Source organism: Homo sapiens, chromosome 5 (assembly GCF_000001405.40).
Source record: "Homo sapiens chromosome 5, GRCh38.p14 Primary Assembly".
Lineage (NCBI taxonomy): Eukaryota > Metazoa > Chordata > Mammalia > Primates > Hominidae > Homo > Homo sapiens.
This window is the reverse complement of record NC_000005.10, coordinates 17,150,886-17,176,997: the sequence shown is the minus strand read 5'-3', so window position 1 is coordinate 17,176,997 and position 26,112 is coordinate 17,150,886. Positions and strand designations below refer to the sequence as shown.

The window sequence follows — 26,112 nt, the reverse complement described above, 5'->3', positions numbered from 1 at the left end:
TGGGGACAGAAGGTCTTTCTTGGCTTTAGGTTATGATAGGAGGCTCAGTTGGCTGGGGAATCACACTACTGAGGAAAATGTCCACAGATCCAAAGCTTAGCTTAGCTTGAGTCCTGTTGGCTAAAAAGGAAACAATGCAAGCAGAAAAGTCTCATATCATTTGATCACCTCAAATACACATTAACAAGCCCAGAACCCAGTCAGAGTGGAGCTTAGAAATCAGCAGTGTCATCTTTCTTCTTAAAATGTTGATTCATTTTATTTTATAAACCAACATGATGCCAAGGAAAGTGATGACGGTCCGGTCTGTAAGGGATGTTTAAACAACGTGTCCCAGATCCATCTTCTCCTTAATATTGAGATTGGCGCCATCTTGGTAAATGCTCCATAACTTTTCTCCTAGGCCCTAGTCTGTTCTCCCTGCCTCTAGGCTTTCACTTCTCCTGATTACCTTTCTGAATGTACATCCCTGATCCTTCTGAATTCACGATCAATCCTCTCTGGATTACTACTGCATATTGACTTAAGGTCAAACTCCCCAGCTTGGCATTCAAGAATTGATATGACCTAGCTTCTTTTTCTCTCTCCCATTTTACCTCAAAACTATCTTAATTTCTATGCCTAGAAAATCATGTCTTGGCCTAGCAAGGTGGCTCACGCCTACAATCCCAGCACTTTGGGAGGCCGAGGCAGGCAGATCACTTGAGGTCAGGAGTTCAAGACCAGCCTGGCCAACATGGTGAAACTCCGTCTCTACTAAAAATACAAAAATTAGCCAGGCACAGTGGCAAGAACCTGTAACCCCAGCTACTTGGGAGGCTGAGGCAGGAGAATCACTTGAACCTGGGAGGCGGAGGTTGCACTGAGTGGAGATTACACCACTGCATTCCAGCCTGGGCAACAAGGTGAGAGACTCTGTCTCAAAAAAAAAAAAAAAAGAAGGAAAAAGAAAAAATCATGTCTTGCCTAAGGAAGTTCCAAAGGCATAGTCAAGTGAGACAAGTGTTTTAACTAGAGCAGCAAGACCCACATAAATAACCTTCGGAGAATCATATTCATAGCAAAGGAAAAGACAAAGCTGTAGGCAGCAAGATAAACTAGAAATCAAAGGAATAGTCTGGGACAAAGTTTCAGAAATAGAACAGCATTATGTGACATTTCCCATTTTCTATGGTAGTTGGTACATGATGTCTGGACAAATCTGGAACCTTAAAAGAACTGCGGGGCTGACACCCTAGGTCAACGCTTTTCAAACTTCCCTTTCTCTTAGAAAGTGAGTTTTAACTTTAATAGGCTTCACCCCAGACCCAGAAAAGATATCAGGAAATCTGAATTTTTTTTTTTTTTGGAGATACAGTCTCACTCTGTCGCCCAGGCTGGAGTACAGTGGCGCAATCTCAGTTCGCTGCAACCTCTGCCTCCAGGGTTCAAGCGATTCTCCTGCCTCAGCCTCCCGAGTACCTGGGACTACAGGCGCCCATTACCAAGACTGCCTAATTTTTATATATTTGGTAGAGACGGGGTTTCACCATGTTGGCCAGGCTGGTCTTGAACTCTTGACCTCAGGTGATCCACCCGCCTCGGCCTCCCAAAGTGCTGGCATTACAGGCATAAGCCATGACACCCGGCCAGGAAATCTGAATTTCAATAAATGCTTCAGGTAATTCTAACGATTGCTCAAGTTTGGGAAAATTCTGACTTCACATTAAAATCACCAGGAGGCTCTGCAGGGAGACCTCATGCAGAGGCCACAGGGAGGTGTTCTGGCCACCAGCCCAGCTAAGGTTCCAGCCAGCAGCCAGGCTCAACTGCCAGACATGTGTGTGAAGATACATCCAAGATGACCCCAGACCCCAGGCACCACCACACCCCAACTGAGGCCCCAGACATCGTGGAACAAAGACAAATCATCACCTATTTGCCCTGTCTCAATTCCCGACCAACAGAATCCAGGAGCCAAATAAAATGGTCATTTTACGTTTTTGTTTTTGTTTTTTTTTAAAAAACGCATCTGGAGATCTTTTTAAAAGTGCTGCAGCTTAGGTCCTGTCCCCAGTACATCCTGATTTATTTAGTCTGGAGTGGCATCTGGTATTAATTTTTTTCCCTAGTTTTTGTTATAAAAAATTTTAATATCAAGAATTGGACAAATAATACATGCAAATCTGTAGATCCATTATAATTGTGAATATTTTGCAATACACTAGATGGGTAAGTAGATAGATGATAGATAGATAGACAGATAGAAGACAGATACGACTGAACTATTTGAAAATAATTTGCAGGCATGACGTTTGACCCCTAAGTTTAAGCACGGAACTATTTAATAAGAGAAGAGATTACAGGCATGCACCACCACACTCGACTACTTTTTTATTTTTAGTAGAGACGGGGTTTCACCACGTTGACCAGGCTAGTCTCAAACTCCTGACCTCAGGTGATCCGCCCGCCTCAGCCTCCCAAAGTGCTGGGATAACAGGCATGAGCCACCACACCCGACCTTCTTATTTACTTACTTCTTATTTTGACTTTTTAAACAGGCCAGCCTTTTTTTTTTTTTTTTTTTTTTTTTTTTTGAGAGTCCTGCTCTGTTGCCAGGCTGGAGTTCAGTGGTGAGATCTCGGCTCACTGCAACCTCTGCCTCTAAGGTTCAAGTGATTCTCCTGCCTCAGCCTCCCGAGTAGCTAGGACTACAGGCACCCGCCACCATGCCCAGCTAATTTCTGTATTTTTAGTAGAAACGGGGTTTCACCATGTTGGCCAGGATGGTCTTAATCTTCTGACCTCGTGATCCACCCCCCTCGGCCTCCCAAAGTGCTAGGATTACAGGCATGAGCCACCATGCCTGGGCCAACAGCTCTCTTATAGAATAGTCGACAATCTATCTTGGTCTGACTGTCTCTTCATGGTGGCATTTAACTTGAGTGTGTTTTCCCACTTGGTCCTGTAAACTGAAGTTTAAGTCTAGTGAATTTATATTCAGATTAAGCATTTGAGGCAAGTACAGTTCATAGGAGATGGGTACTTCCCATCACATCAGATAGTACATGTTGTCCATCTGTCATACTATTACTGATGCTGAACTTAATCACTTGATGAAAGGAATGGCCATCCTATCTTTCCATTACAATATTTTTTTTATTTGCAATTAGCCAGGAACCTGTGATAGTCTGGCACATGAATATACTGTTTCCCCAATGAAATTTCACCTAGTAGTTTTGCCACCCATTGATGACTTTGTCTGAAATAATTATTTGGTTGGAAATGGAAAAAAATGATCATAGTTTTACTTTCTATTAAGAAATAACTTACACGGCAGTAAAAATTCACCCTCTGTTCTGTAGTTTTTCAGGTCTTGACAAATGTATACATTCACGTAACCACCACAACCATTAAGATATAGAGCAGGTGACTCACACCTGTAATCCCAGCACTTTGGGAGGCCAAGGTGGGCAGATCACGAGGTCAGGAGATCGAGAGCATCCTGGCCAACGTGGTGAAACCCTGTCTCTACTAAAATACAAAAAATTAGCCAGGAGTGGTGATGCATGCCTGTAGACTCAGCTACTTGGGAGGCTGAGGCAAGGCAATCACTTGAGCCTGGGAGGCAGAGGTTGCAGTGAGCCAAGATCATGCCACTGCACTCCAGCCTGGCGACAGGGCAAGACTCCATCTCAAAAAAAAAAAAAAAAAGATATAGAGCAGTTCCACTATCCCCTCCAAATTCCTCCATGTCAACTCTCGCCCAGCCCCAGCCCCTGGCAGCCACTGATCTTTTTTCTGTCCTGTTAGATTTGCTTTTTCCAGAATGTCACACACCTAGAATTATACATTGTACAGCCTTTTGAGTCTGGTTTTTTTTTTCACTTAGCACAATGCATTTGAGATCCCTCCATGTTGTTCTATGCATCAGCAGTTTTTTCCTTTTTATTACTGAACCGTATTCCACGTATTCCATTGTGTTCCATTGTATGCCAGCTTGTTTATTCAGTCCCAAATTCCCAAATTGAAGGACAGATGGGTTGTGTTCAGTTTGGAGCAATTCCAAATAAAGTCGTAGAAACATTCTCTTCCAGGCCTTTGTGTGAACTAAAGTTTTCATTTCACTTGGGTAAATACTTAGAAGTAGAATCACTAAGTTGTTTAGTAAATGTGTGTTTAACTTCATAAGAAACTGCTAAATTCTTTTTCATGGTGGCTGGACCATCTTGTGTTTCTCCCCATAGCATATGAGAGTTGAATAATTGTTTTTAAATTCTGTCATCCTTTATATTTCTTAGCTGGCATTCTCCCATGATGAGAAGCATTTCCTCATCAACTTGAGATGAACCACTGATTGGTTTATAAAGGCAGAGTAAATGCTAATTTTTCCACATCGTTACCCATTTCCAGAGGAAAGAGTTTTACAGTAGTTACTTCCAGACCTCCTCTTTTTCTCATTCTTCCTTTCTTTTTTATAACTACAGATGTAGATATTTTTATTTACTCCACATTTTACAATCACTAACATTTATCATTCTTAATAATGCTCAAATTCTTCTAAAATTCTTCCCTGGTGGGAAGGCTGTCAAGCTAGTCCTTAACCTTTCGACATGACTTCATTGGCTTTTGACACTTTTTTGCTTTCTGGCATGGTAAGATTCCCATTCTCACCTTGAACTTTCCTTGAATCAAGCCTAGGATCAGCCATTCTCCAAGAGATCTGGTTCCTTTTAATAGCCTTTAGAAACCCATTCTGGGCAGCAGGTATCTCATGGCTACTGGACACCATCACCTCTAGGTTCCTTGATTAGGAATACATGCACAGATAAACACTTTAAATCAAGACTAGGAGCTATGCATACACTGAAATTACAGATTCGTACCAATACTCCCAATTAAAATTTAACCTTCTTCATGCCTTTTATTTTTTAATTTGTATTTCTTTTATATCAAAATTACAATGCCAGCCTTACCCCAGCACTTTGGGAGGCCACGGAGGGTGGATCACAAGGTCAGGAGATCAAGATCATCCTGCCAATGTGGTGAAACCCCGTCTCTACTAAAAATACAAAAAAATTAGCCGAGCATAGTGGCAGGCGCCTGTAATCCCAGCTACTCAGGAGGCTGAGGCAGGAGAATTGCTTGAACCCAGGAGGCAGAGGCTGCAGTGAGCCAAGATTGCCCCATTGCACTCCAGCCTGGCGACAAAGCGAGACTCCGTCTCAAAAAGAAAAAACAAAAAACAAAAAAAACTAAACAGGCCAGGCATGGTGGCTTACACTTGTAATCCCAGCACTTTGGGAGGCTGAGGTGAGCAGAGTGCTTGAGCCCCAGGAGTTCAAGAGTTCGAGACAGCCTGGGCAACATGGCAAAACCCTGTCTCTACACGTGTGTGTGTGTGTGTGTGTGTGTGTATACATATATAGATATAGATATGATTTTTTTTTTTTTGAGACTGGGTCTCATTCTGCCACCCAGGCCAGAGTGCAGCAACACGGTAACAGCTCACTGCAGCCTTGACCTCCCAGGCTCAAGCGATCCAAGATGTTTTGTATTTTTAGTAAAGACAGGGTTTCACCATGTTACCCAGGCTGGTCTCGAACCCCTGGCCTCAAGTGTTCCTCCTGCCTCCGCCTCCCAAAGTGCTGGAATTACAGGATTGAGCCACTATATCCAACCTACAGAAAAACTTTTCAAAAAAATTAGCCAGGGCTGGGTGCAGTGGCTCGCGCCTATAATCCCAAGTACTTTGGGAGGCCGAGGCTGGTAAACCACTTGAGGCCAGGAGTTCAAGACCAGCCTGGCCAACATGGCAAAACCCCATCTCTACTAAAAAAAAATACAAACATTAGCCAGGCATAGTGGCACGTGCCTGTAGTCCCACCTACATGGGAGGCTAAGGCAGGAGAATCACTTGAACCCAGGAGGCGGAGGCTGCAGTGAGCTGAGATCGTGCCACTGCACTCCAGCCCAGGAAACAGAGCCAGACTCCGTCTCAAAAGAAAAAAAAAAAGACTAAACACAAATATCCAATGGAGACATTTCCTGCCTAAAACTGTACAGGAATAGACAAGACGGCAGAGGTGGGGCTAACTAAACTTCCCTCCTTATAACCCAAAAAGTGGCTCCCAGTACCTGTGGAGGTATTACCCCTCTCCCCAGGGGAAGATGCCAACAAGATGAGAAGGAAACTCCAGTTTCTAGAAACTTCAATTTTCACCTGTGTCTGAAAGAGGAACAAGATGCATACCATCTGGAAGAGAAAGGAAAAAGACCTGTAGCTGGCTTCCAGTGTTTCAGCACTCTGAGTTTGTTAGGGCTAAGGAAAGGAAAATAGGGCGTGATTAGTATTATGAAGGAGGCCGGAGTGTTGTACTAAAATATCTTCCCTGAGCACCTTCCTGAAACAGCTCCTGAATTGACACCTCAGTGAAAAATGCTACTTTCACTGAGAGAAAAAAAGACAAAAACCTGGAAATGCCTTATAAAAAAAAATCTGTTGTCTGTGTTTCAGGAAGTCTCTACTGATTCTAAATTTCACCTCTGATCCGAACCCTGGTGGTCTGATGATATTACTTCCTACTTCTGGGACCTCTACCCTACGAAACCCACCTCTCACTGAAACAAGTGGATATCTTTGTGGTTGCTGCCACGGGATTTAAGAGTCCTTTTTTTTTTTTTGATACGGAGTCTTGCTCTGTCACCCAAGCTGGAGTGCAGTGGTGTGATCTCAGCTCTCTGCAACCCCCACCTCCTGGGTTCAAGCGATTCTCCTGCCTCAGCCTCCTGAGTAGCTGGGATTACAGGCATTCACCACCATGCCCAGCTAATTTCTGTATTTTCAGTAGAGACGGGGTTTCACTATGTTGGCCAGGATGGTCTTGATCTCCTGACCTTAAGAGATCCTCCTGCCTCGGCCTCCCAAAGGGCTGAGATTACAGGCGTGAGCCACCACGCCCAGCCTAAGAGTCCATTTGAAGCATTTTTATTCTAAGAAAATTTATTTCCATATGTAGTTGGGATGAAAAGTCTATGAAATCCATTCAAAACAAAGGTGCTTTCAACTATACTGTTTGAAGTTACAGTTTTGTTTCTTCCCTTATCCTGTGCTATCTTAAGCCATATGTTGTTGTAAATTAACAGGAAAGAGGGCATTTAAAACAAATGGTTTATGTGAATAGCATTAATCCCGTCAAGACTAGTTTGTGACAAGGGCTAAAGATTGCACTCTTGCCTTTTAAGCTCAACCAAGTTAAACATCTGAACTATTTCTGCTGTCTTGTAAATATTAAGATGTAACACGTTTCTGATGTTTGTTGACATTTGTTGTACTTTTGATGAACAATTAGCCTGCAAGAATATTAACAGGAAATTCCATTCATGAGATAAGCAGCTGTTTGTGCAAAGCTTCAGCCAGATCATGGGACCAAAAATCTTCTTTATGCAACTACTGTTTGTTGAATAGTCAGCATTCCTTGCATGTTCAAAAGGAAATGCTTTGGAAATAACTTTTATGGCTAATTTTGACTTTTATATTTTCGTAAGGAGAAAATAACTTTCATGGTTAATGTTGACTCTTATACTTGCAGGTAGTAAAATAATGTCCTTTATCACCATGTAAATTTCAAACAGTAGTCATTGACAAATCCCTAGTAATTTCCAAATTGTAATGCAGAATCCTAAGGCTGGTGTTAAGATCCCTGAGTCCACGTCATATCATAATGCATGATTATTTTATTGAAATAAAAACCTACAATTATATGAAACACTCTCTCTCTCTCTTTTTTTTTTTTAGACAGAGTCTTGCTCTGTCACCCAGGCTGGAGTACAGTGGCACAAACATGGTTCACTGCAGCCTCAACTTCCCAGGCTCAAGTGACCCTTCTGCCTCAGCTTCCAGTAGCTGGGACCATAGACACGCACCACCACACTCAGCTAATTTTTAAAATTTTTTCTATGGACAGGGTCTTGCCATGTTGCCCAGGCTGGTCTTGAACTCCTGGGCTCAAGCAATCCTGCCTCTTTGGCCTCCCAAAGTGCTGGGATTACAGGCGTGAGCCACAGAGTCTAGCCAAGAACGCTCTCTAATTCAAAAATGTTTCTTAGGCCAGGTGCAGGCTCACACCTATAATCCCAGCACTTTGGGACCGAGGTGGGTGGATCACCTGAGGTCAGGAGTTTGAGAGCAGCCTGGCCAACATGGGGAAACTCCATCTCTACTAAAAATATAAAAATTAGCCAGGCATGGTGGCACATGCCTATAGTCCCAGCTACTCAGGAGGCTGAGGCAGGAGAATCGCTTGACCCCGGGAGGTGGAAATTGCAGTGAGCTGTGAGCTGAGATTGCGCCACTGCACTACAGCCTGGGCGACAGATCAAGACCCTATCTCAGGAAAAAAAAAAAAAAGTTTATCTTCCATATTTTGAGCTGTTAAAACATTTCATGTAATATTCACATAGCAACATGTATTTAGTATCCACTAAATTACTGGAGATACAACTCCAAAGGCATTTGGAGAGAGGAAGAAGACTGACAAATAACTAGGTAGATAATTTTGCCATCACAGAAATGATGGCAGGTCTCTAGAAGCACTAAGGAGACAAAATTGTTTTTCATGGCGGGGTGTCTTATCAAAGATTCACTCAAAATTCATCAATCATCAGTCACCAAATCCTGTAGAATTTACCTCCTAAATACCATCCCCTCTGCCTCTTCCTCTTTATCTCACTGTCCCGACTGCCCCCTCTCCTCTCACTTGCAAAAACCTATCTGCTTCTATCTAGCCTGCCTGCTTCTCATCTCTCTGATACACCATTAAAGCCCAAACTTTCTGGGTCATGTGGCCCTATCAGTAAAAGATTTCTGACCAGGCATCCCCAGTATGACACTTATTTATCAACTCTACACGTGAACTGCTTGCTCTCAGTCATGTGTAAGTATCAGTAAAGCTTAGTGTCTTCTTTATTTTTTTTCAGATTAAAGAATACATCTGTATCCAATTTTCTTGCATACTTTTAGGGGTACAGGCCTCCCCTGTAACATGAGAGACCACTGCTCAAAAAGGCTACAAGAGAAAAGTTTCTGAAATGATATCAACTCATAATTAAGACTCTATAGTCTTTCACTTTGACTTTAAAATAAGCTCAAGGCCCTTCTGGGTTTCCTTTTTTGCCCATGATAGCCTCAGACCTGGCTATAGAGCTAAACAGGGGAATGCTCAGATGAACAGATGCACCTCTCCATCCTCACCCCTCATCCTTTTTCATGCATATCCAGGCCTTTGCTGGAGTCCAGCTGACCTCTCAGCAGGGAAGGAGTTAAGATAGAACAGGCACTGACCACTAACAGCAGTTCTTGACTGCCCTGTGCCAAGTGGTTTTCCAGTTGAGAGCACCCCTGAGGTTTAATTGGCCAAAGTCTGAACTACAATTTTTCAGAAGGATTAAGAAATGTCCCTTTTAAAGCCCATTTCCAGGAGTGTGAGGTGATTATATGACAGATAGGAAACGAGCCTAGGCATCTTTTACCTGCTCCAACTGGCTAGAATAATCTAGCATAAATCCAAAAGGTAATTCCAATATGCATCCCATCACCTAAACTATTCCACATCATTTACATGAAATCATGTAAATCATGACATCATGGTTTCTCCCCAGTTCATAAATCAGCTCTGCCTTCTATAGTCAGTCAAGTTCCCCATGAATGCTACCACCACCAACCCTGCTTTCCACGTAGCAAACCTGACATTTAAACTGAATTTCTCCCTCTCCTTCATGCTCACATCTATTTACCAACACCTCCCCAACCCCGCCTCGGAGAAGTCTTTGAAATCCATCTTTCCTCCTCTGACACTCATTAGTCTAGGCCTTCAGCATGTCTTGCTTGAGGAATTACAATCATCTCCTACTTTGTCCACCAACCTCCAGGTTCTCTGTTTTAGCTCAGTTGCCTAATTATCTTCTTAAACAAAAGTTTAGCTGATATCCATATGCCTCTCTTAGTAAAAACATTTGAGCACACACCTCTAAAATGGGATTATTTAAAAATTATAAACATGCATTACTTTGCTAATATATTTTGCATATTGTAAAATTATATATATATACAAATATAAATTTAAAAGTGTGGCATGGGCCAGGCGTGGTGGCTCACGCCTGTAATCCCAGCACTTTGGGAGGTCGAGGTGGGCAGAACACGAGGTCAGGAGATCAAGACCATCCTGGTTAACACGGTGAAACCCTGTCTCTGCTAAAAATACAAAAAATTAGCCAGGCGTGGTGGCGTGTGCCTGTAGTCCCGGCTACTCGGGAGGCTGAGGCAAGAGAATGGCATGAACGCAGGAGGCAGAGCTTGCAGTGAGCCGAGATCACGCCACTGCACTCCAGCCTGGACGACAAAGCGAGACTCTGTCTCAAAAAAAAAAAAAAAAAAAAAAGTGTGGCATGATCTCTTGTGTCATTGAGGAGGGGTAATGAAACTGTTGTATGTCCTGATTATAGTGATGTTATTATAATAGGTTGCAATAACTTATATGTTTGTGTTAAAATCCAGAAAACTATACACCAATTAAAAAAACTCAATTTTACTGCAGATAAATTTAAAAACTAAATTTTAATGAAAGTATGAGATAAAATTCAAATAGTTGTAATATATTTGCCCACTCCCAACTGGATTACCTTTTGCATCTTTTGAGAAGACACAGCGCCTTTGGGATCACTGAATCACAGGATTAAATTCAAACTCCTCAGACTGGCATTTTTGACTGCTATTGTAAAAGAAATAGCAAAAATTCCTCAAATCATTAAAGGCTTTTTCACCTATTTTGTCATGACTCTACTTCTAGTTACATGGTGTTATGGAAATATTGATAGTGAGTATAAATCATAGTGTGTATAACTGTTATAAAATAGAAGAAGGCTGTTTGTGTTACTCTTCTAGAGCATATAATTGATCTAAATTTGCTTTTGTGACCTGCCCAGCATAATGACAGAGAAAGGCATGGGCTGATGGTGATAAGATTCAGGGAAGAAATATCTACAATGCTAAGTAAAAATCACCTATCAGGCTGGGCGCCTGTAATCCCAGCACTTTGGGAGGCCGAGGCGGGTGGATCACAAGGTCAAGAGATCGAGACCACCCTGGCCAACATGGTGAAACCCCATCTCTACTAAAAATATAAAAATTTGCTTGGCATGGTGGCACGCACCTGTAGTCTCAGCTACTCAGGAGGCTGAGGCAGGAGAATTGTTTGAACCCAGGAGGTGGAGGTTGCAGTGAGTCGAGATCACACCACTGCACTCCAGCCTGGGCTACAGAGCGAGACTGCGTCTCAAAAAAAAAAAAAAAGAAAGAAAGAAAGAAAAAAAAAATCACTGATCAAAGCAAAGGACCCAGAACACTAAGAATATACAGAAGGAGAAGCTTCACAAAAGAAAGTTCAGGAGGAGAGAATGGGATGGATCCTGTCCCAAATAAAGTATCATTCTGTGTCAACCACTTGAAAACTTTGAGCAAACTACTTGACCTCAAAGTGAAGAAAAGCCAGAAAATTTCATTCTTCTAATTTCATCAAGGCAGGCCCATACGATCTGCCTATTTACCAAGGTAAGGACAACTTGTGAAAGACGTTGAATGGGCAAGTTATAAATAAACTTACAGGTGTCTCCTGGGTAGCATGCCCTTCAAGATTATCTGATTCTACAAGGGCCTGCAGTTTTCATTGTCTTTGAGCTATTTTACAACTCTCTAAGTTGTAGAAAACTAAAGATAATGCAAATGATTCTTGTCCACAGAAATGCAAATGAATTTTTTTCACTGGAATACAACCAATAATACTGCCCTATGAACACTGACCAGTTTTGCATCCATTTTTAAGATTCATTTTAGCATTCCTGATTGCCTAAATATGTGTTATTTGAATTTTCCTTTGAATCAATTGTAACATCTTACTAATTATCTCATTAATTGGTGAGTTAAATAAAAGCTTTTACACATGTTCATTTTCATGGAAATCATGATTTTGCCTTTTTAATAAAAACGTATCCTTTAGATATGTTTTTTTCCTTAGATACGTTCTTTAGAAACCAAGAATCCAGGAAAACCTGTGAGACTTACATGTCCTCTTGATAGGCAAGCAAAGAACCCAAAGGAATTTCCCTCCCATCATCCTTCTGTTTCAATGTAATAGAGCTGCTGCAGTTTTGCTGTAGAAAGGCTTAAACTTTTGAAGATGTCAGCTGCCTCTGCCTTTTGCAGAAAATTCTGTTAAAGGTGAAACAAGTAAAAACTCTAATTGAAGCTTTGCCATTCAAACCTACACTGGCTATCAGTAATTTAGCCACAGCCACTTTCTGCCCTTTACTTCCCAGTCTTCTACCGCTAGGACCCTGCGCTCCAGCCATTTGTTCTTCATCCCCTTACGCTACTCCCTCCACGTAGAATGGGTGAGGTTGGGGGTCGTCTTTCCTTCTCATGCTTCAAGATCCTGTGAAAGAGTCACCTCCTCATGTGACAAGGCTCAAACATTTGCAGAAATGGCTACAGGACGTTCACATCTTATCCTAAATTTCCACAGAATTTGTACAAATCTTCTTGTTTATGTTGCTTAGATGCAAACGTTTCATGGCTTTGCATGAGTCTCTAGTTCAGAAAGCTCATTTTTCCTAGCTAGCTCTAGCATTTCACCTTGGGGATGACACTACGTATAAGGGGCAGAAGATGAGGTCTTAAGGATGGAATTTGGAAGCAAACTACCAAAATAGAGTTCAGCAGCTTTGCTTAATTAATAAAAGAGAATTCGATGGATGGAATGAGGCAGGTGAGGGAAAGCGGAGAATGGAGGAAAAAGAGGAGAGAAGGAAAAGGAGCAGGAACAGGGAGTTCAGAAAGAGTCCTCATCACAATAGTGGTGGAGGACAGGCACGGCTCATGCCTATAATGGGGCTCATGCCCCAGCACTTTGGGGGGCTGAGGCAGGTGGATCGCCTGAGGTCAGGAGTTCAAGACCAGCCTTCGGCAACATGGTGAAACCCCGTCTCTATTAAAAATACAAAAATGAGCCAGGCACAGTGCCATGCTCCTGTAGTAGCAGCTACTCAGGAGGCTGAGGCACAAGAATCACTTGAACCCAGGAGGTGGAGGTTGCAGTGAGCCAAGATCACGCCACTGCACTGGAGCCTGGGTGACACAGCGAGACTCTGTCTCAGAAAAAAAAACCAAGAGTGATAGAATGAAATTAGAGTTGGTGGAAACCCCCAAGTAACAGTTTGAAGTATAGGGGAGTCTGTTGTTCAAGTTTAGATGAATTGCTCTATGGTTCTGCAGTATGCCTTCCTTGTCATCAAATTGCCAGCAAAACTTTACCACAGAGAGCTGCATCATGTGCATCGTATTTTCATGGAAAGAGCAAACAATCCAGGGTTGTGTCCCACAATTGTGTTGACTCCATGGAAAAAAGGAAGGAACAGCTGCAGGACAGAGAGTGGAGAACAAAAATTCAGCAGAAGCTGGAAGCAGAAAACAGAGGTGACTGGGAGTGTGATAGGAATATCCAGAAATTTTGGCAAACTCATTGAACTTTCACTGTCTGATGGACAAGGAGTTTGAGCAGATATGATTTAGGTCTAAGAAGGGAGTGGCAGATAGCCCAGTGGACATCTGGTTGCCTCAGATATGTGATCCTGCTGTATCTGGATGAGATCCTGAACTAGGAACTCCTCAGAAACAGGAGGCAGAAGATATTCATTTCTCCTAGCAAAGCAAAGTGCTTGCCTTATAATGGGTGATGAAAAAATATTAACGGATCACTTAACAAACTTTAATTAGTAAGTAGTGAAATGTCATTTATTCTAGTTGGTAACCTAATATTCTGTTTTTAGCCTAAGCTATTTATTATCTAGAGGCACTTGGGCTTCTTATGTTTATTATATAATATTATTTTATTTATATTATTATAGTTATTTTTATTTTTTCTGGGATTAAAATACTTATTATTCTTTCATAGTATCGAGTAATGTGTCAACCCCTTGAGGTTGTCATTGTTCTTAAGTGTTCTTAAGCCACACTGAGTAGGGCCATAATGACCCAAAAAAGTTCAAGTTCACTGGAGGCTACAATATGACCAGTCCCATAGGGACTGTTATGGGCTGAATTATGTCCCCCTCATCACAATTCATATATTGTAGCCCTAACCTGCAGTGCCTCAGACTATAACTGTATTTGGAGATAGGGCCTTGATATGGTTTGGCTCTGTGTCTCCACCCCAATCTCATGTTGAACTGTGATCCCCAGTGTTAGAGGTGGGCCTGGTGGGAGGTGATTGGATTATGTGGGTGGTTTCTAATGGTTTAGCACCATCCTCTCAGTGCTGTCTCATGACAGAGTTCACAGGAGATGTAGTTGCTTGAAAGTGTGTAATACCTCTCCCTTCACCCTCCCTCTCTCCTGCCAGCCATGTGAAGACGTGCCTGCCTCCCTGTTACCTTCCACCATGATTGTAAGCTTCCTGAGGCCTCCCCAGCCATGCCTGCTGTATAGCCTGCAGAACAGTGAGTCAATTAAACTTCTTCTTTTTATAAGTTATCCAGTCTCAGGTAGTTCTTTATGGCAATGTGAGAACAGAACAGACTAGTACAGGCCTTTAAAGAAGTAATTAGGCTAGGTGCGGTGGCTCACGCCTGTAATCCCAACACTTTGGGAGGCTGAGGCGGGCGGATCACGAGGTCAGGAGATCGAGACCATCCTGGCCAACAGGGTGAAACCCCGTCTCTACTAAAAATACAAAAAAAATTAGCCAGGTATGGTGGTGCACGCCCGTAGTCCCAGCTACTCAGGAGGCTGAGGCAGGGGAACAGCTTGAACCTGGGAGGTGGAGGTTGCAGTGAGCCGAGATCGCGCCACTGCACTCCAGCCTGGAGCCACAGCAAGACTGCGTCTCAAAAAAAAAAAAAGAAAAAGAAAAAAAGAAGTAATTAAAGTAAAATGAAGTCTTATATTGGGCTCTAATCTGACATGCCTGGTGTTCGTATAAGAAAAGAATATCAGGACAGAGACACAGAAGATCATGTGAGGACATAGAGGAAATGTAATGATCTGTAAGTCAAAGAGCAGTTTCAGAAGAAACCGAAGCTGCCAACACCTTAATCTTGGACTTTCAACCTCCATAATTGTGAGAAATAGATTTTTATTGCTTAAGCCACACAGTTTGTGGTGTTTGGTTATGGCAACCCTAGTAAACTAATATAGCGACCATATTTTCCAAACTAGAAATTGAGACATGTGGCTTGACAAGTACAAGTGATTTATAGACTCAATTGACTAGAATACCCTATATTTGAAACCCAGCCATATCTAATTCATAGTTAATTCACAAACTTACTTCCAAACAGGACTTTACTTAATCCTAGAAAAATACTGTTACTCAACTCTTTATAAACTCTTAGGAAATGGGGTTCTATTCCTACCCCTGAAAATATACCAAATCCCAAGTTCTGCAACTGAAATTTTAACACCATGCATCTTTTTTTGGGCCTTTTAAAATCAAACTAAATACAATTTAGAGAGAACTAAGGGCAGAAATCCATGGACTTCATGGACTTTTCATTCGTTTTTTTTTTTGTTTTTTTTTTTTTTTGAGACGGAGTCTCGATCTGTTGCCAGGCTGGAGTGCAGTGGTCCGATCTCAGCTCACTGCAATCTCCGCCTCCCGGGTTCAAGTGATTCTCCTGCCTCAGCCTCCTGAGTAGCTGGTATTACAGGCACGTGCCACCACGCCCAGCTAATTTTTGTATTTTTAGTAGAGTCAAGGTTTTAACCATGTTGGCCAGGATGGTCTCGATCTCTTGACCTCGTGATCCACCTGCCTCGGCCTCCCAAAGCGCTGGGATTACAGGCGTAAGCCACCGCGCCTGGCCCGGACTTTTCATTCATAACATGTAAGTGTAGGTTAAATTATTGTAAGAGCACACTGTTCTATTTTTAGAAGAGAAGAAATCTGAGAATCTAGCATGCCTTCAGGAAGACAATACCTTTAAGAAGAGTAGCACAGACCGGCATTCACATCCTCAGGCTAACCACCTACATAACTGGAAAACACCTAGGGGTGGGGACAGAAAGGAATTATTTTAAACTAAATATTTTGTCAGGGCACAGTGGTTCATGCCTGTAATCCCAGCATTCAGAGAGGCCAAAGCTGGAGGATTGCTCGAGCCCAGAAGCTCAAGGCCAGCCTAGGCAACATAGTGAGATCCTATCTCTACAAAAAATGAAATTAAAAAATTATCCGGGCATGGTGGTGCATGCCTGTAGTCCCAGCTACTCAGAAGACTGAAGCAAGAGGCTCCACTGAGCCCCAGGAATTCAAGGTTACAGTGAGCTATGAGTGTGCCATTGTACTCTATCCTGGTCAGCAGAGCAAGATCCTGTCAAACACACACACACACACAAAACCCTAACTATTCTTTAAGATCTAAATCCAAAAATGAGGCAGGTCTGATGGCTCACACCTGTAATCCCAGCACTTTGGGAGGCTGAGGTGGGTGGATCACTTGACATCAGGAGTTCAAGGCCAGCCTGGCAAACATGGTGAAACCCCATCTCTACTAAAAATACAAAAATTAGCGGGGCGTGGTGGCCCGTGCCTGTAATCCCAGCTACTCGGGAAGCTGTGGCAGGAGAATCACTTGAACTCGGGAGGTGGAGACTGCAGTGAGCCAAGATCGCACCACTGCACTCTAGCCTGGGCGACAGAGTGAGACTTCATCTCAAAAAAAAAAAAAGAATTGAAACTGGCTGTAGTTGTTGTTGCTACAGGTCATGTTAACTGCAATGCCTGTTTTTTCCCTCAGAGCTGCAATAAGAAACAATCAAAGCTCTCATTTATTAACGTACACTACAAAAATGCTAACATGTATATATTTAAACTCCCATGGGGAATTCAAAGAAAATGATGACGCATGTGGAATCCTCATCAAATGCAAGCCAGGTGTGAATTTTTTTTGCCTTTTGCCAGAAAGCTTCAGACTCGCAGACTTTATATTATAACTAAGTGTTTCAAGTCTCTCCACAGGTGAGAGAAATACAGCTAAGTTAAAAGAAAAATTAAATTATGAATGTTTCTGGAAGAAATACAGTTATTTGACTCTGGGGTGAGATGACAAAGTAGAACCAAATTTTAAAATGGCTGAATTCACAAAAGGCAAAGAAGAAAAATTTTAAAAGCATAGCTAGAGAAAAATAAGTTTCATCCACTGTCCTTACAACACATGAAAAGAGAAAATCTTATACTAAATCTTTAAAACATGTTACCCAGAAAATCCCAGGTGTTCTCCGAGATGGGAAGGTAGGTAGCTCCTAGCCTCGTCTCCCCAGCAGCAACGTCAAAACAAAAAAAAAGACTGGAAGCTAAGCACAGCGGTTCATGCCTGTAATCCCAATACTTTGGGAGGTTGAAGTAGGAGGATTGCTGGATCCCGGGAGTTCGAGACCAGCCTGAGCAACATCGTGAGACCTCATCTCTACAAAAAATACAAAAATTAGCCGGGCCTGGTGGCACACACTTATAGTCCCGACTGTCGGGAGGCTGAGGTATGAGGGTCACCAGAACCCGGGTAGCCAAGGCTGTAGTGAGCCTTGATAGCGCCACTGCATTCCAGCCTGGGTGACAGAGTGAGACCCTGTCTCAGAAACAAGAAAACAACAACAACAAAACAACAACAAATAGAGGTTTCCAAGGCACAAAACTAAATAAACACATTTTCTCAAAGGAGAAAATAAGAAAAAACTCACTTGAATCCAAGGCACGAAGTGCACAGAAGCCTCATTTAAAATGCTTAACCTCTCTTCGGATTAAAACTGCCATCACAATAGGTGGGGCACAGAACAGCCTTGTAAAGGACAGGCTCTAGAGACAGACTCCGTGTGCTTGAATCCTGCCTCCACTACTTATTAGCTGTATCGTCTTGGGCAGGTGCCTTAATGTCTCTAGCATCAGTTTCCTTAGCTGTGAAATGAGAATTATTATAATTCCTACATACAAGGCTAAAATTAGCTGATATAGATAAGGCATTTAGAAAGGTGCCCAGCAAGCGGTGGCTCACGCCTGTAATCCCAGCACTTTGGGAGGCCAAGGCGGGCGGATCACAAGGTCAAGAGATCGAGACCATCCTGGCCAACATGGTGAAACCCCGTCTCTACTAAAAATAAAAAAATTAGCCAGGCATGATGGTGCACGCCTGTAGTCCCAGTTACTCAGGAGGCTGAGGCAGAAGAATTGCTTGAACCCGGGAGGCGGAGCTTGCAGTGAGCCAAGATCGCGCCACTGCACTCCAGCCTGGTGACAGAGCAAGACTCCATCTCAAAAAAAAAAAAAAAAAAAAAAAGGTGCCAGGCACATGGTAAACTATATTCATGGGACTATATTTGTGTTGACTGTTATTATTATTGTGATTTTGTTGAAGTCCACGAACTCCCTTTTCTTTCCTCTGTCCCCTCTGGCTAGGAAGGATGTGGAGGGCCCATAGTGGACCAAAGTACCATGTAAGAGGCTGGTGATTTAAGATCAAAAGTCTCAATCCCTGGCCCTAATGAAGCTCTCAGCCTAGTGGGGACAAGCATATAAGCAAGTGACCCACCCAAGCTCCAGCAGTGATTGTCCCGATCCATGCGTGGCAGGAAACAGTCCTGGGAGGAGATTTACTTGAGAGATCCTCACTGCCAACACCAGTCCCAACCCCAGGAAGAAATGAAGGAGCCTCCACTCCCTTCTCAGTGGCCAATTGTGTTTTGATCATTTTTGTTTAAACAGTCGGCTTACATCCTTCCCGCTCTTCCTCCTCTAGTGCTGTCTGCCACACTGAGCCAGCCTTTTCTTGCCACGCCTCTTGCACAATTTACTACTGAAGCACAGCACGTAGGCTTCTCTCTGAAGCTCCTGCATCACACACAGAACCATCCTGACTCAGCACAGATCCCTCTGTCCTTCATTCCTCTTGAGTTATGTAGCATTTCCACACACGTAGATTCCACATGTTACATTCTTAACCTTTTCATGCCTTCTTCCCCATTCCCATGATTCTTAAGAGCAAGAAAAGGAAAAACAGTCCAAAAAGCAGGGCCATGATATATGACTGTCTTCACTATGCATCATTTCGTGAACAAGGTCCTTAGAGTTGTGCAGTTCACAACCTGAACAACCCTATGTAGCAGCTCTGGCAGCATGAGCTCTAATAGAATGTGTACGAGGTACACTGGGAGCACAGTAGATAGAGTGGTCAGTTCTAGGTGGGGAGGCCAGGGATAGCTGTACAAAACAAGCAGTCACTGACCTAAGATCGTGAACCACAGGTAGAGGTCCTCCATTCTTCCAAAGGTCTAGGGAGGATGTCCAGTGGAGAGGCAGCTGCTTGGGAAAAGGCACAGAAGCATGAAACAGTCCAACATTCTGACATTACGAGATGAGCAAGGACTGGGAAGCATCTAGATCAAAGGGGATAAGGAAGGAGCAGCTGGAGGTGAAGCTGAAGACATAACCGTTTGGGGACATGCATGCTATGCCAATGAATCAGAGAGTTTGGGGCGCCTACGCAAGGGCTGAGGCCTGGGGGGAAGGAGCTGTGCAAGAACAGATTTGTGTTTTAGAAAGATTCCTCTAGCAGTGTACATATGGGACAAATTGGAGCCAGGCTGACCTGGGAGACCACTCAGAAGCTCTCATCATAGTCCAAGAGCTAAAGATGAGTATCCATACTATTTCTGCAGACATTCCAGAAACATTTAAAAAACACAAGAGATGGGGCAAGGTGACTTACCAGGATGGGAAGTAGCTGAAAGAGACCCGGGTAACCATCAGGGCCCTAGCTTTGGTAAGTGAGTACAGGATAGTACTTTTACCTGTTCTAAAGGCATACAGGAGGAGAAGTAAGTTTGGAGGAGAAATAATTGGTCGTCTATAACCATACCACCTTGAACACCTGCTTGATCTTGGAAGCTAAGCAGGGTCTGGCCTGGTTAGTACTTGGATGAGAGAAATAATAGGTTGAATTACAGGAGTCTTGAAAACATGCAAGTAAATATATTGAAGCACTAATTGGTTATTTAGTGTCTGGAGTTCAAGAGCAAGATTTGTTCTTAAGGTAAGAGTCACAAGAGTAGCTAAGAGCACAATGAAAATGAAAAAAGGAAATAGTTACTATGAGCTACTTATTCTGGGGCACTTGTACAGGAAAAATGACAAGATGTAAAGTTGAGGAAGGTATTTTTCTAATGAAACCTGAAATATTAATGGATGCAAGAAAGGAGTAAGGCAAGAGCGAGAGACTGAAATATGAGACAGATGTAATCATCAGAGTGAGATCAGGGAGGGGATATGGTTAAGAGCATAGTTGGGCTGGATGCAGCGACTCATGCCTGTAATCCCCGCACTTTGGGAGGCTTAGGCAGGTTGATTGTTTGAGCCCAGGAGTTCAAGACCAACTTAGGTAACATGGCAAAACCCTGTCTCTACAAAAATACAAAAGTTAGCCGGGTGTGGTGGTATGCACCTGTAGTCCCAGCTACTCAGGGAGCTGAGATGGGAAGATTGCTTGAACCCAGCACACCGAGGCTGCAGTGAGCTAACCCAGCACACCGAGGCTGCAGTGAGCTGCAATTATGCCCCTCCACTCCAGCCTGTGTGACAGAGTGAGACCCTGTCAAAAAAAAAAAAAAAAAAAAAAAAAGATCGTAGTCTTCACTCGGATCCCTGAAACTGCAAGTCTAGGTTAGAAAAAGAAGGCATTCACACCTAGGAACTTTTTTTCTCTAAAAAATAGAAAATAAATAATTGATTCATTAAGTCACTCTTTTGGTCACTATTCTATGAGCACCTACAAAATACCCTGGCACAACAGCCACCATCCTTGTCCTCCTGGAACTTAAAAGCTGGGAGTGTGGCAGGTGTTAATCAAATGCCCATACAAGTAAATGCAAAATTGCAACTGTGATAGATGCTACGTCAAATTACATGGTTCAATAAGAGTTTATAGTAAGAAGAATTGGCCTACTCAGGTGTCAGCAAAGCCTTCCTCTCTGAATAGGTCAATTCCCCTCACTATAAACTCTTTTTCAGCACAAGTCAAACCCTTATTGGCACAAGGAGAACTTGTCATTGATGAAGTGGCATAATTTCAATTCACAAGTTAGAGTCAATGAGAAGAGAAAGACGGGAAGAAGGCTTGGCATATGCAACGGCCCTGTGGAAGCAGGGAGTACTGGAAGTCCTTGGATCAAAAGATAGTCAGTGTGACCGGAGCAAAAGAGTGAGGTGGAGCATGACAAAAGACGAACCTGGAGACATTAGTAGAACCAGACAAGGTAGGATCTTACAGGACATCCCATAAAAGCTCATCTTAATAGTAAAGCGCTAGGAAGTCATTGATGAGTTTTAAAAAGCATAGGTGGCTGAGCTCACATGATCACATTTGTATTTTATACATTTTCAAAAGTTGACTTTAGCCGCAGCCTGGAGAATGGACCAGAGGAATCCAGAGGGGACAAAATAAGCTAGTGAGGCTACTTTGGTAACCCTGGAAAGAGATGACTATAGCTCAAAAAAGGTGACAGTGGTGAGAATTGAAAAAGAAGATAACTTTAAAAGATATTTAGAAAGATATTATTGAAATTCAGTAAGGGTAAGGTGAAGGAATATTGAGGCTGGCCCCCTACATTTAGGATCTGCCCCAAATTGGGTAGATTACCAGGATGAAGTACACTGGAAGCAGCCTGGATTTCGAAGGAAGATCATGCATTTACTTCTAGATATATTGATTTTAATGTGCCTTTGGGACATTCAAGAGTGGATATCAAGTAGACTGTTGGCCAGGTAAGACTAGATCTCAAAGGAGAAGCCCAAATTATTGATATGAAGAGTAGGCATAGATAGGATAAGATTGTTTATGGACAGAACATGGAGGAAAGGAGAGGTGCCAAGACAGACTCTTGAGGAGCTCAAAGAATCAGTGGCTAGATAGAAGATGATGAAACTGCAAAAGGAAAGAAGAAATGACCAGGAAGTTCAGAAGAAAACTAAGATAGCTTTACGGTCAGAAAATGGGGGCAAGAAAGTTCCAGAAAGAGGACATGTTCAAGAATGTTGCTAAGAAGAAAGGTGAGAGTAGAAAAGTCCATTGGATTGACGTGGAAGAGTAATGGAGCCAGAAGTCATGCTGAGTCAAGCTGAAGAATGAGACAGTGAGTGTAGACAATTCTATCTAGATCCAGAATGACTGAGTCATTGACTATGAATAAAAGCAGTAAAATCAGGAAGGTGATTTGAGGAAGGAGCAAAAGTTCAGACTTGTAGCTGAGAGTTACTAAAGGAAGACCTGACCAAAAAGAATGCAAAATAAATAAATAAACCGAGGAGAGAGATTTCCATTAATTTTCGGTGGCACCAGTTTGCCTGGGTGGGCAATTCTTTCTAGTTATCATAGTCTGAATTTAGCTGGGAAACACCAAGTTGTGGTTAAAAAAAAAAAGGAAAAAATAAAAAACACAAGGAGACAATGAAGTTGAGTAGCCTGAGAGGAAGAGGTGCTAATTGTCTCTGAGAGCCAGGCTCCATATGGAAGGAATTGTCCCCAGGAGGCTGATAATTAGCTGCAAATAGATAAGTCAAGGGATTAGAGACCACGATAAAGACAAAAAGCATGTTTAGGGGAAGGCAGGTTAAGAAAGCTGAATTGACAGGTGAAGTGGATGCTGTCAATGTAGCCTGATATCTGCATGGCAGCCTCTACTTCTATGCCCTCTACTCTGGCCAGACTGTCACCTGCTTTTTGCCGGAGGGTGGGAGTTGAGGTTTTTTGGTTTTTGGTTTTTTTTTTTTTTTTTGAGATAAAATGTCGGTCTTGTTGCCCAGGCTGGAGTGCAGTGGCACGATCTCGGCTCACTGCAACCTCTGCCTCCCAGGTTCAAGCGATTCTCCTGCCTCAGCCTCCCAAGTAGCTGGGATTACAGGTGTCTGCCACCGAGCCCAGCTAATTTTTGTATTTTTAGTAGAAATAGGGTTTCACTATGTCAGCCAGGCTGGTCTTGAACTCCTGACCTCAGGCGATCCGCCTGCCTCGGCCTCCCAAAGTGCTGGGATTACAGGCATGAGCTACCATGCCCGGCCACCTCCTTTTGTCTCAACTCCCTTCCAGGCCAGAAGTGCTGGGCACCAGATTCCCCCTAGAAGCAACCCCCAGCCAACACTCGTCAGGAATCAGTGACTGTCTAATGCAGCTCCTTGGCCTTCCCCCGGTGGGATGTTCTTGCTGCCTCCCAGAGTTCCCCAGTGGGGATGGTTCCAGTTGCCCATGGTGAGCACTTGCTTGCCATTGGACTCTTTTATTAGCTTCTTTCCCTTCCTTGTCTCAGTCCTCCACCCCAACACTGGGATTAGCTCCCATAGAAACGACTTGTATGGGAGTCCTTCTTCAGGGTCTGTTTTTTGGGGAACTCCAGCCAAGACAGTAGGTGGTTGCTGCTGAAGTTTTCAGAGGTGAATCTGTTGAAGCTAAAAAGAGTATTAAAAAGAGTTCAGGATGCTTAAGTGCAGGGGAGAGAAATGTTATTGGTTCTTTTTTTTTTTTTTTTTTTTTTTTCTGAGATGGAGTCTAGCTCTGTCGCCCAGGCTGGAGTGCAGTGGCATGACCTCGGCTCACTGAAAGCTCCGCCTCCCGGGTTCACGCCATTCTCTTGCCTCAGCCTCCTGAGTAGCTGGGACTACAGGCGCCTGTCACCACGCCTGGCTAATTTTTTTTGTATTTTCAGTAGAGACGGGGTTTCACCATGTTAGCCAGGATGGTCTCGATCTCCTGACCTTGTGATCCACCCGCCTCAGACTCCCAAAGTGCTGGGATTACAGGCGTGAGCCACCACGCCCGGCTGGTAAATGTTATTGATTCTAAAATAAAACAGCATTAGAGGCTGCTGTGTTTGGGACTGTCCACATGGACGTCAAATTGACCCCAGATGTCATAGGTGGTGACCTAGAGAAAGAGACCGTGAACCAACGAGGTGGTTCCACAGGGGTGCTGGGTAGATGAGGCAGATGACATGACCCAAAACAAAGAGGATTTTACACAAGGGATGTAAAGTAATGTCTAGGCACCGGAAGGGGGACCAAGGTCAATGTTGACTCCTCCTTCCAGATTTAGGATATGCCGGAGAAACAGCTGCCCCCATTGGAATGGTTCTAAGTTTTTAAAAATAAACTGTCCCTATGGGAGGACAACTGACCAGTCTACAGTGGGTTGGAGATATAGGGAAAGACTTTCCAATAAAAAGGACAGGAGGCTCTAGATGAACCAAACAGGACAACGTAGTAAAGGGGATGAGTTAGGGGGAGAAACAGCAACCAGGGATTGTGCATCTTGAGCAGTGCCTCAGAGTGAAAAGTTCCAACCCGCTTCTGATGCAGCTTCTGGCATGACGCTGAGAACCCAACACGCACAGCCACGCAGCCCAGGTGTCATGGAATTGGGGAAATTGAGCGGGGCAGTTGCTCTGGAGGCCAGGCGGCCATGGACCACTATTCCAGGCTGTCTCTGGCGTTAAGGGCTCCAAGGACTCTCCCCAAACAGGGGCCAACTTTATACTTACATTATGCAATACTTAAACTTAAAACAACTGATGCACAGCTTACAGTTGTGTGAAAATATACAAAGTAATCATCAATGCCCATAGTCTGGCAGCACTGCCTTTTTTAAAGTCCAGGCCTCTTGTTTCTATCAAAATCTCTCTCTCTTCATTCTCCTCATCCTCTTCCTCCCTCTCCTCCCCTCCCCCCTCATCAAAGTAAACTGAATTAGCCTCCAGCAGGTGGACATTAAAAGGATTGTTATTATCTGTGCAGTGTTCATTCTGAAAAGGAATCTGCTACGTAGCAACTTCTGAATTGGGTTCACTTTGTGCTCTTTGAGGCATCACAGAAGTCAGCGTAGAACAGTTTGAACTAATACTCTCCTGCCCAGAAACAACCAAGCGTCCTGGGAAGACGGCGCTGCACTGCTCTGCAGATTCCCCCTCAGGAATGAAAGCTTCCTAGTCCATCCCCTACAAGGATTGAAAGGAGCCTCTTCACTGAAAGTCACAGACCCATCTCCAGATGCCTGCATTCCATGGCTGACCTCCGTGGGGGTCCGAGGCCACAGTGAGTCAGCTTTGCAAGACCATCCCGCCTTCAGAGCTCCTGAGGTCCTGGCTGAGACCTTTATTAAGACTGTGCCACAGCTCAACGTCTCTCCCTTACTTCATCCTGCTCCTTCTCTTCTCCTTTATGATGTAAATCCCCAAAACTCTCCCCAAGAAACATCCTTTTTTCCATCATCACAGAGCTCTGAGGAGCTACAAATGGTGTCGCTTCCAAACAAGGATAATTTCAGGAAACCTGATCTGACGCTGCAACATTGGTTTATAAAAAATACCATACAGGCCGGGTGCAGTGGCTCACGCCTGTAATCCAAACACTTCGGGAGGCCGAGGCAGGAGGATTGCTTGAACCCAGGAGTTCGAGACCAGCCTGCACAACATGGCAAAACCCCATCTTTACAAAAAATTAGCCAGGTCTGATGGCACATGTTTGTAGTCCCAGCTGCTCCGGTAGGCTGAGGTGGGAGGATTACCTGAGCCCAGGAGTTCGAGGCTGCCGTGAACTATGATCACACCACCACACTCCAGCCTGGGTGACAGAGTAAAACCCTGGCTCCAATATATATATATATGTATGTATATGCCGGACACGGTGGCTCACGCCTGTAATCCCAGCACTTTGGGAGGTCGAGGCAGGTGGATCACTTGAGGCCAGGAGTTCGAGACCAGCCTGGAAAACATGGAGAAACACTGTCTCTACTAAAAATGCAAAAATTAGCTGGGTGTGGTAGTGCACACCTGCAATCCCAGCTACTTGGGAAGCTGAGGTAGGAAAGTCGCTTGAACCCAGGAGTTGCAGTAAGCCGAGATCGCACCACTGCACTCCAGCCTGGGCAACAGGGCAAGACTCCGTCTCTAAAAAAAAAGAAAAGAAAAAAGAAAAGAAAATATAATACCAATTTACTAGGTATTGAAGGAGGAAGGGAAAAGAGCTTGTGCTAACTCATTTGACCTTGGAA

At 43.6% G+C, this 26,112-nt stretch overlaps 2 long non-coding RNA genes, 1 other non-coding gene and 1 pseudogene across 3 annotated transcripts in view, besides 2 other annotated features; 3 read left to right on the top strand and 1 right to left on the bottom strand.

Annotated features, from left to right (window-relative positions):
* The window catches only part of BASP1-AS1 (BASP1 antisense RNA 1), an 87,395-nt gene that overhangs the window by 40,425 nt on the left and 20,858 nt on the right, over window positions 1-26,112 (top strand). The window contains exon 2 of the long non-coding RNA NR_027253.1: window positions 14,433-14,529. This is a non-coding gene — a long non-coding RNA (BASP1 antisense RNA 1). The remainder of the gene's footprint in view (window positions 1-14,432; window positions 14,530-26,112) is intronic.
* Window positions 3,904-4,198: a silencer, noted in NCBI's record as "tiled region #6771; HepG2 Repressive non-DNase unmatched - State 24:Quies". NCBI's record gives its function as "represses a minimal TATA promoter and a strong SV40 promoter by Sharpr-MPRA in HepG2 cells {active_cell/tissue: HepG2}" and the evidence as "EXISTENCE:reporter gene assay evidence [ECO:0000049][PMID:27701403]".
* On the bottom strand, window positions 4,711-12,184 carry LOC105374664 (uncharacterized). Its single transcript, XR_001742614.2, has 4 exons — window positions 12,098-12,184; window positions 10,660-10,748; window positions 6,118-6,235; window positions 4,711-4,784 (listed from the first exon to the last, which is right to left on the bottom strand). It is a non-coding gene; the product is annotated as an uncharacterized LOC105374664 (long non-coding RNA).
* RNA5SP180 (RNA, 5S ribosomal pseudogene 180) lies at window positions 19,927-20,027 on the top strand (annotated as a pseudogene).
* Window positions 21,006-21,068, top strand: MIR10522 (microRNA 10522). The gene has a single exon (NR_162112.1). It is a non-coding gene; the product is annotated as a microRNA 10522 (primary transcript).
* Window positions 24,948-25,915: an enhancer, noted in NCBI's record as "NANOG-H3K27ac-H3K4me1 hESC enhancer chr5:17151192-17152159 (GRCh37/hg19 assembly coordinates)". NCBI's record gives its function as "activates a minimal SCP1, AML or CMV promoter by ChIP-STARR-seq in primed H9 embryonic stem cells {active_cell/tissue: H9 hESC(primed)}" and the evidence as "EXISTENCE:reporter gene assay evidence [ECO:0000049][PMID:30033119]".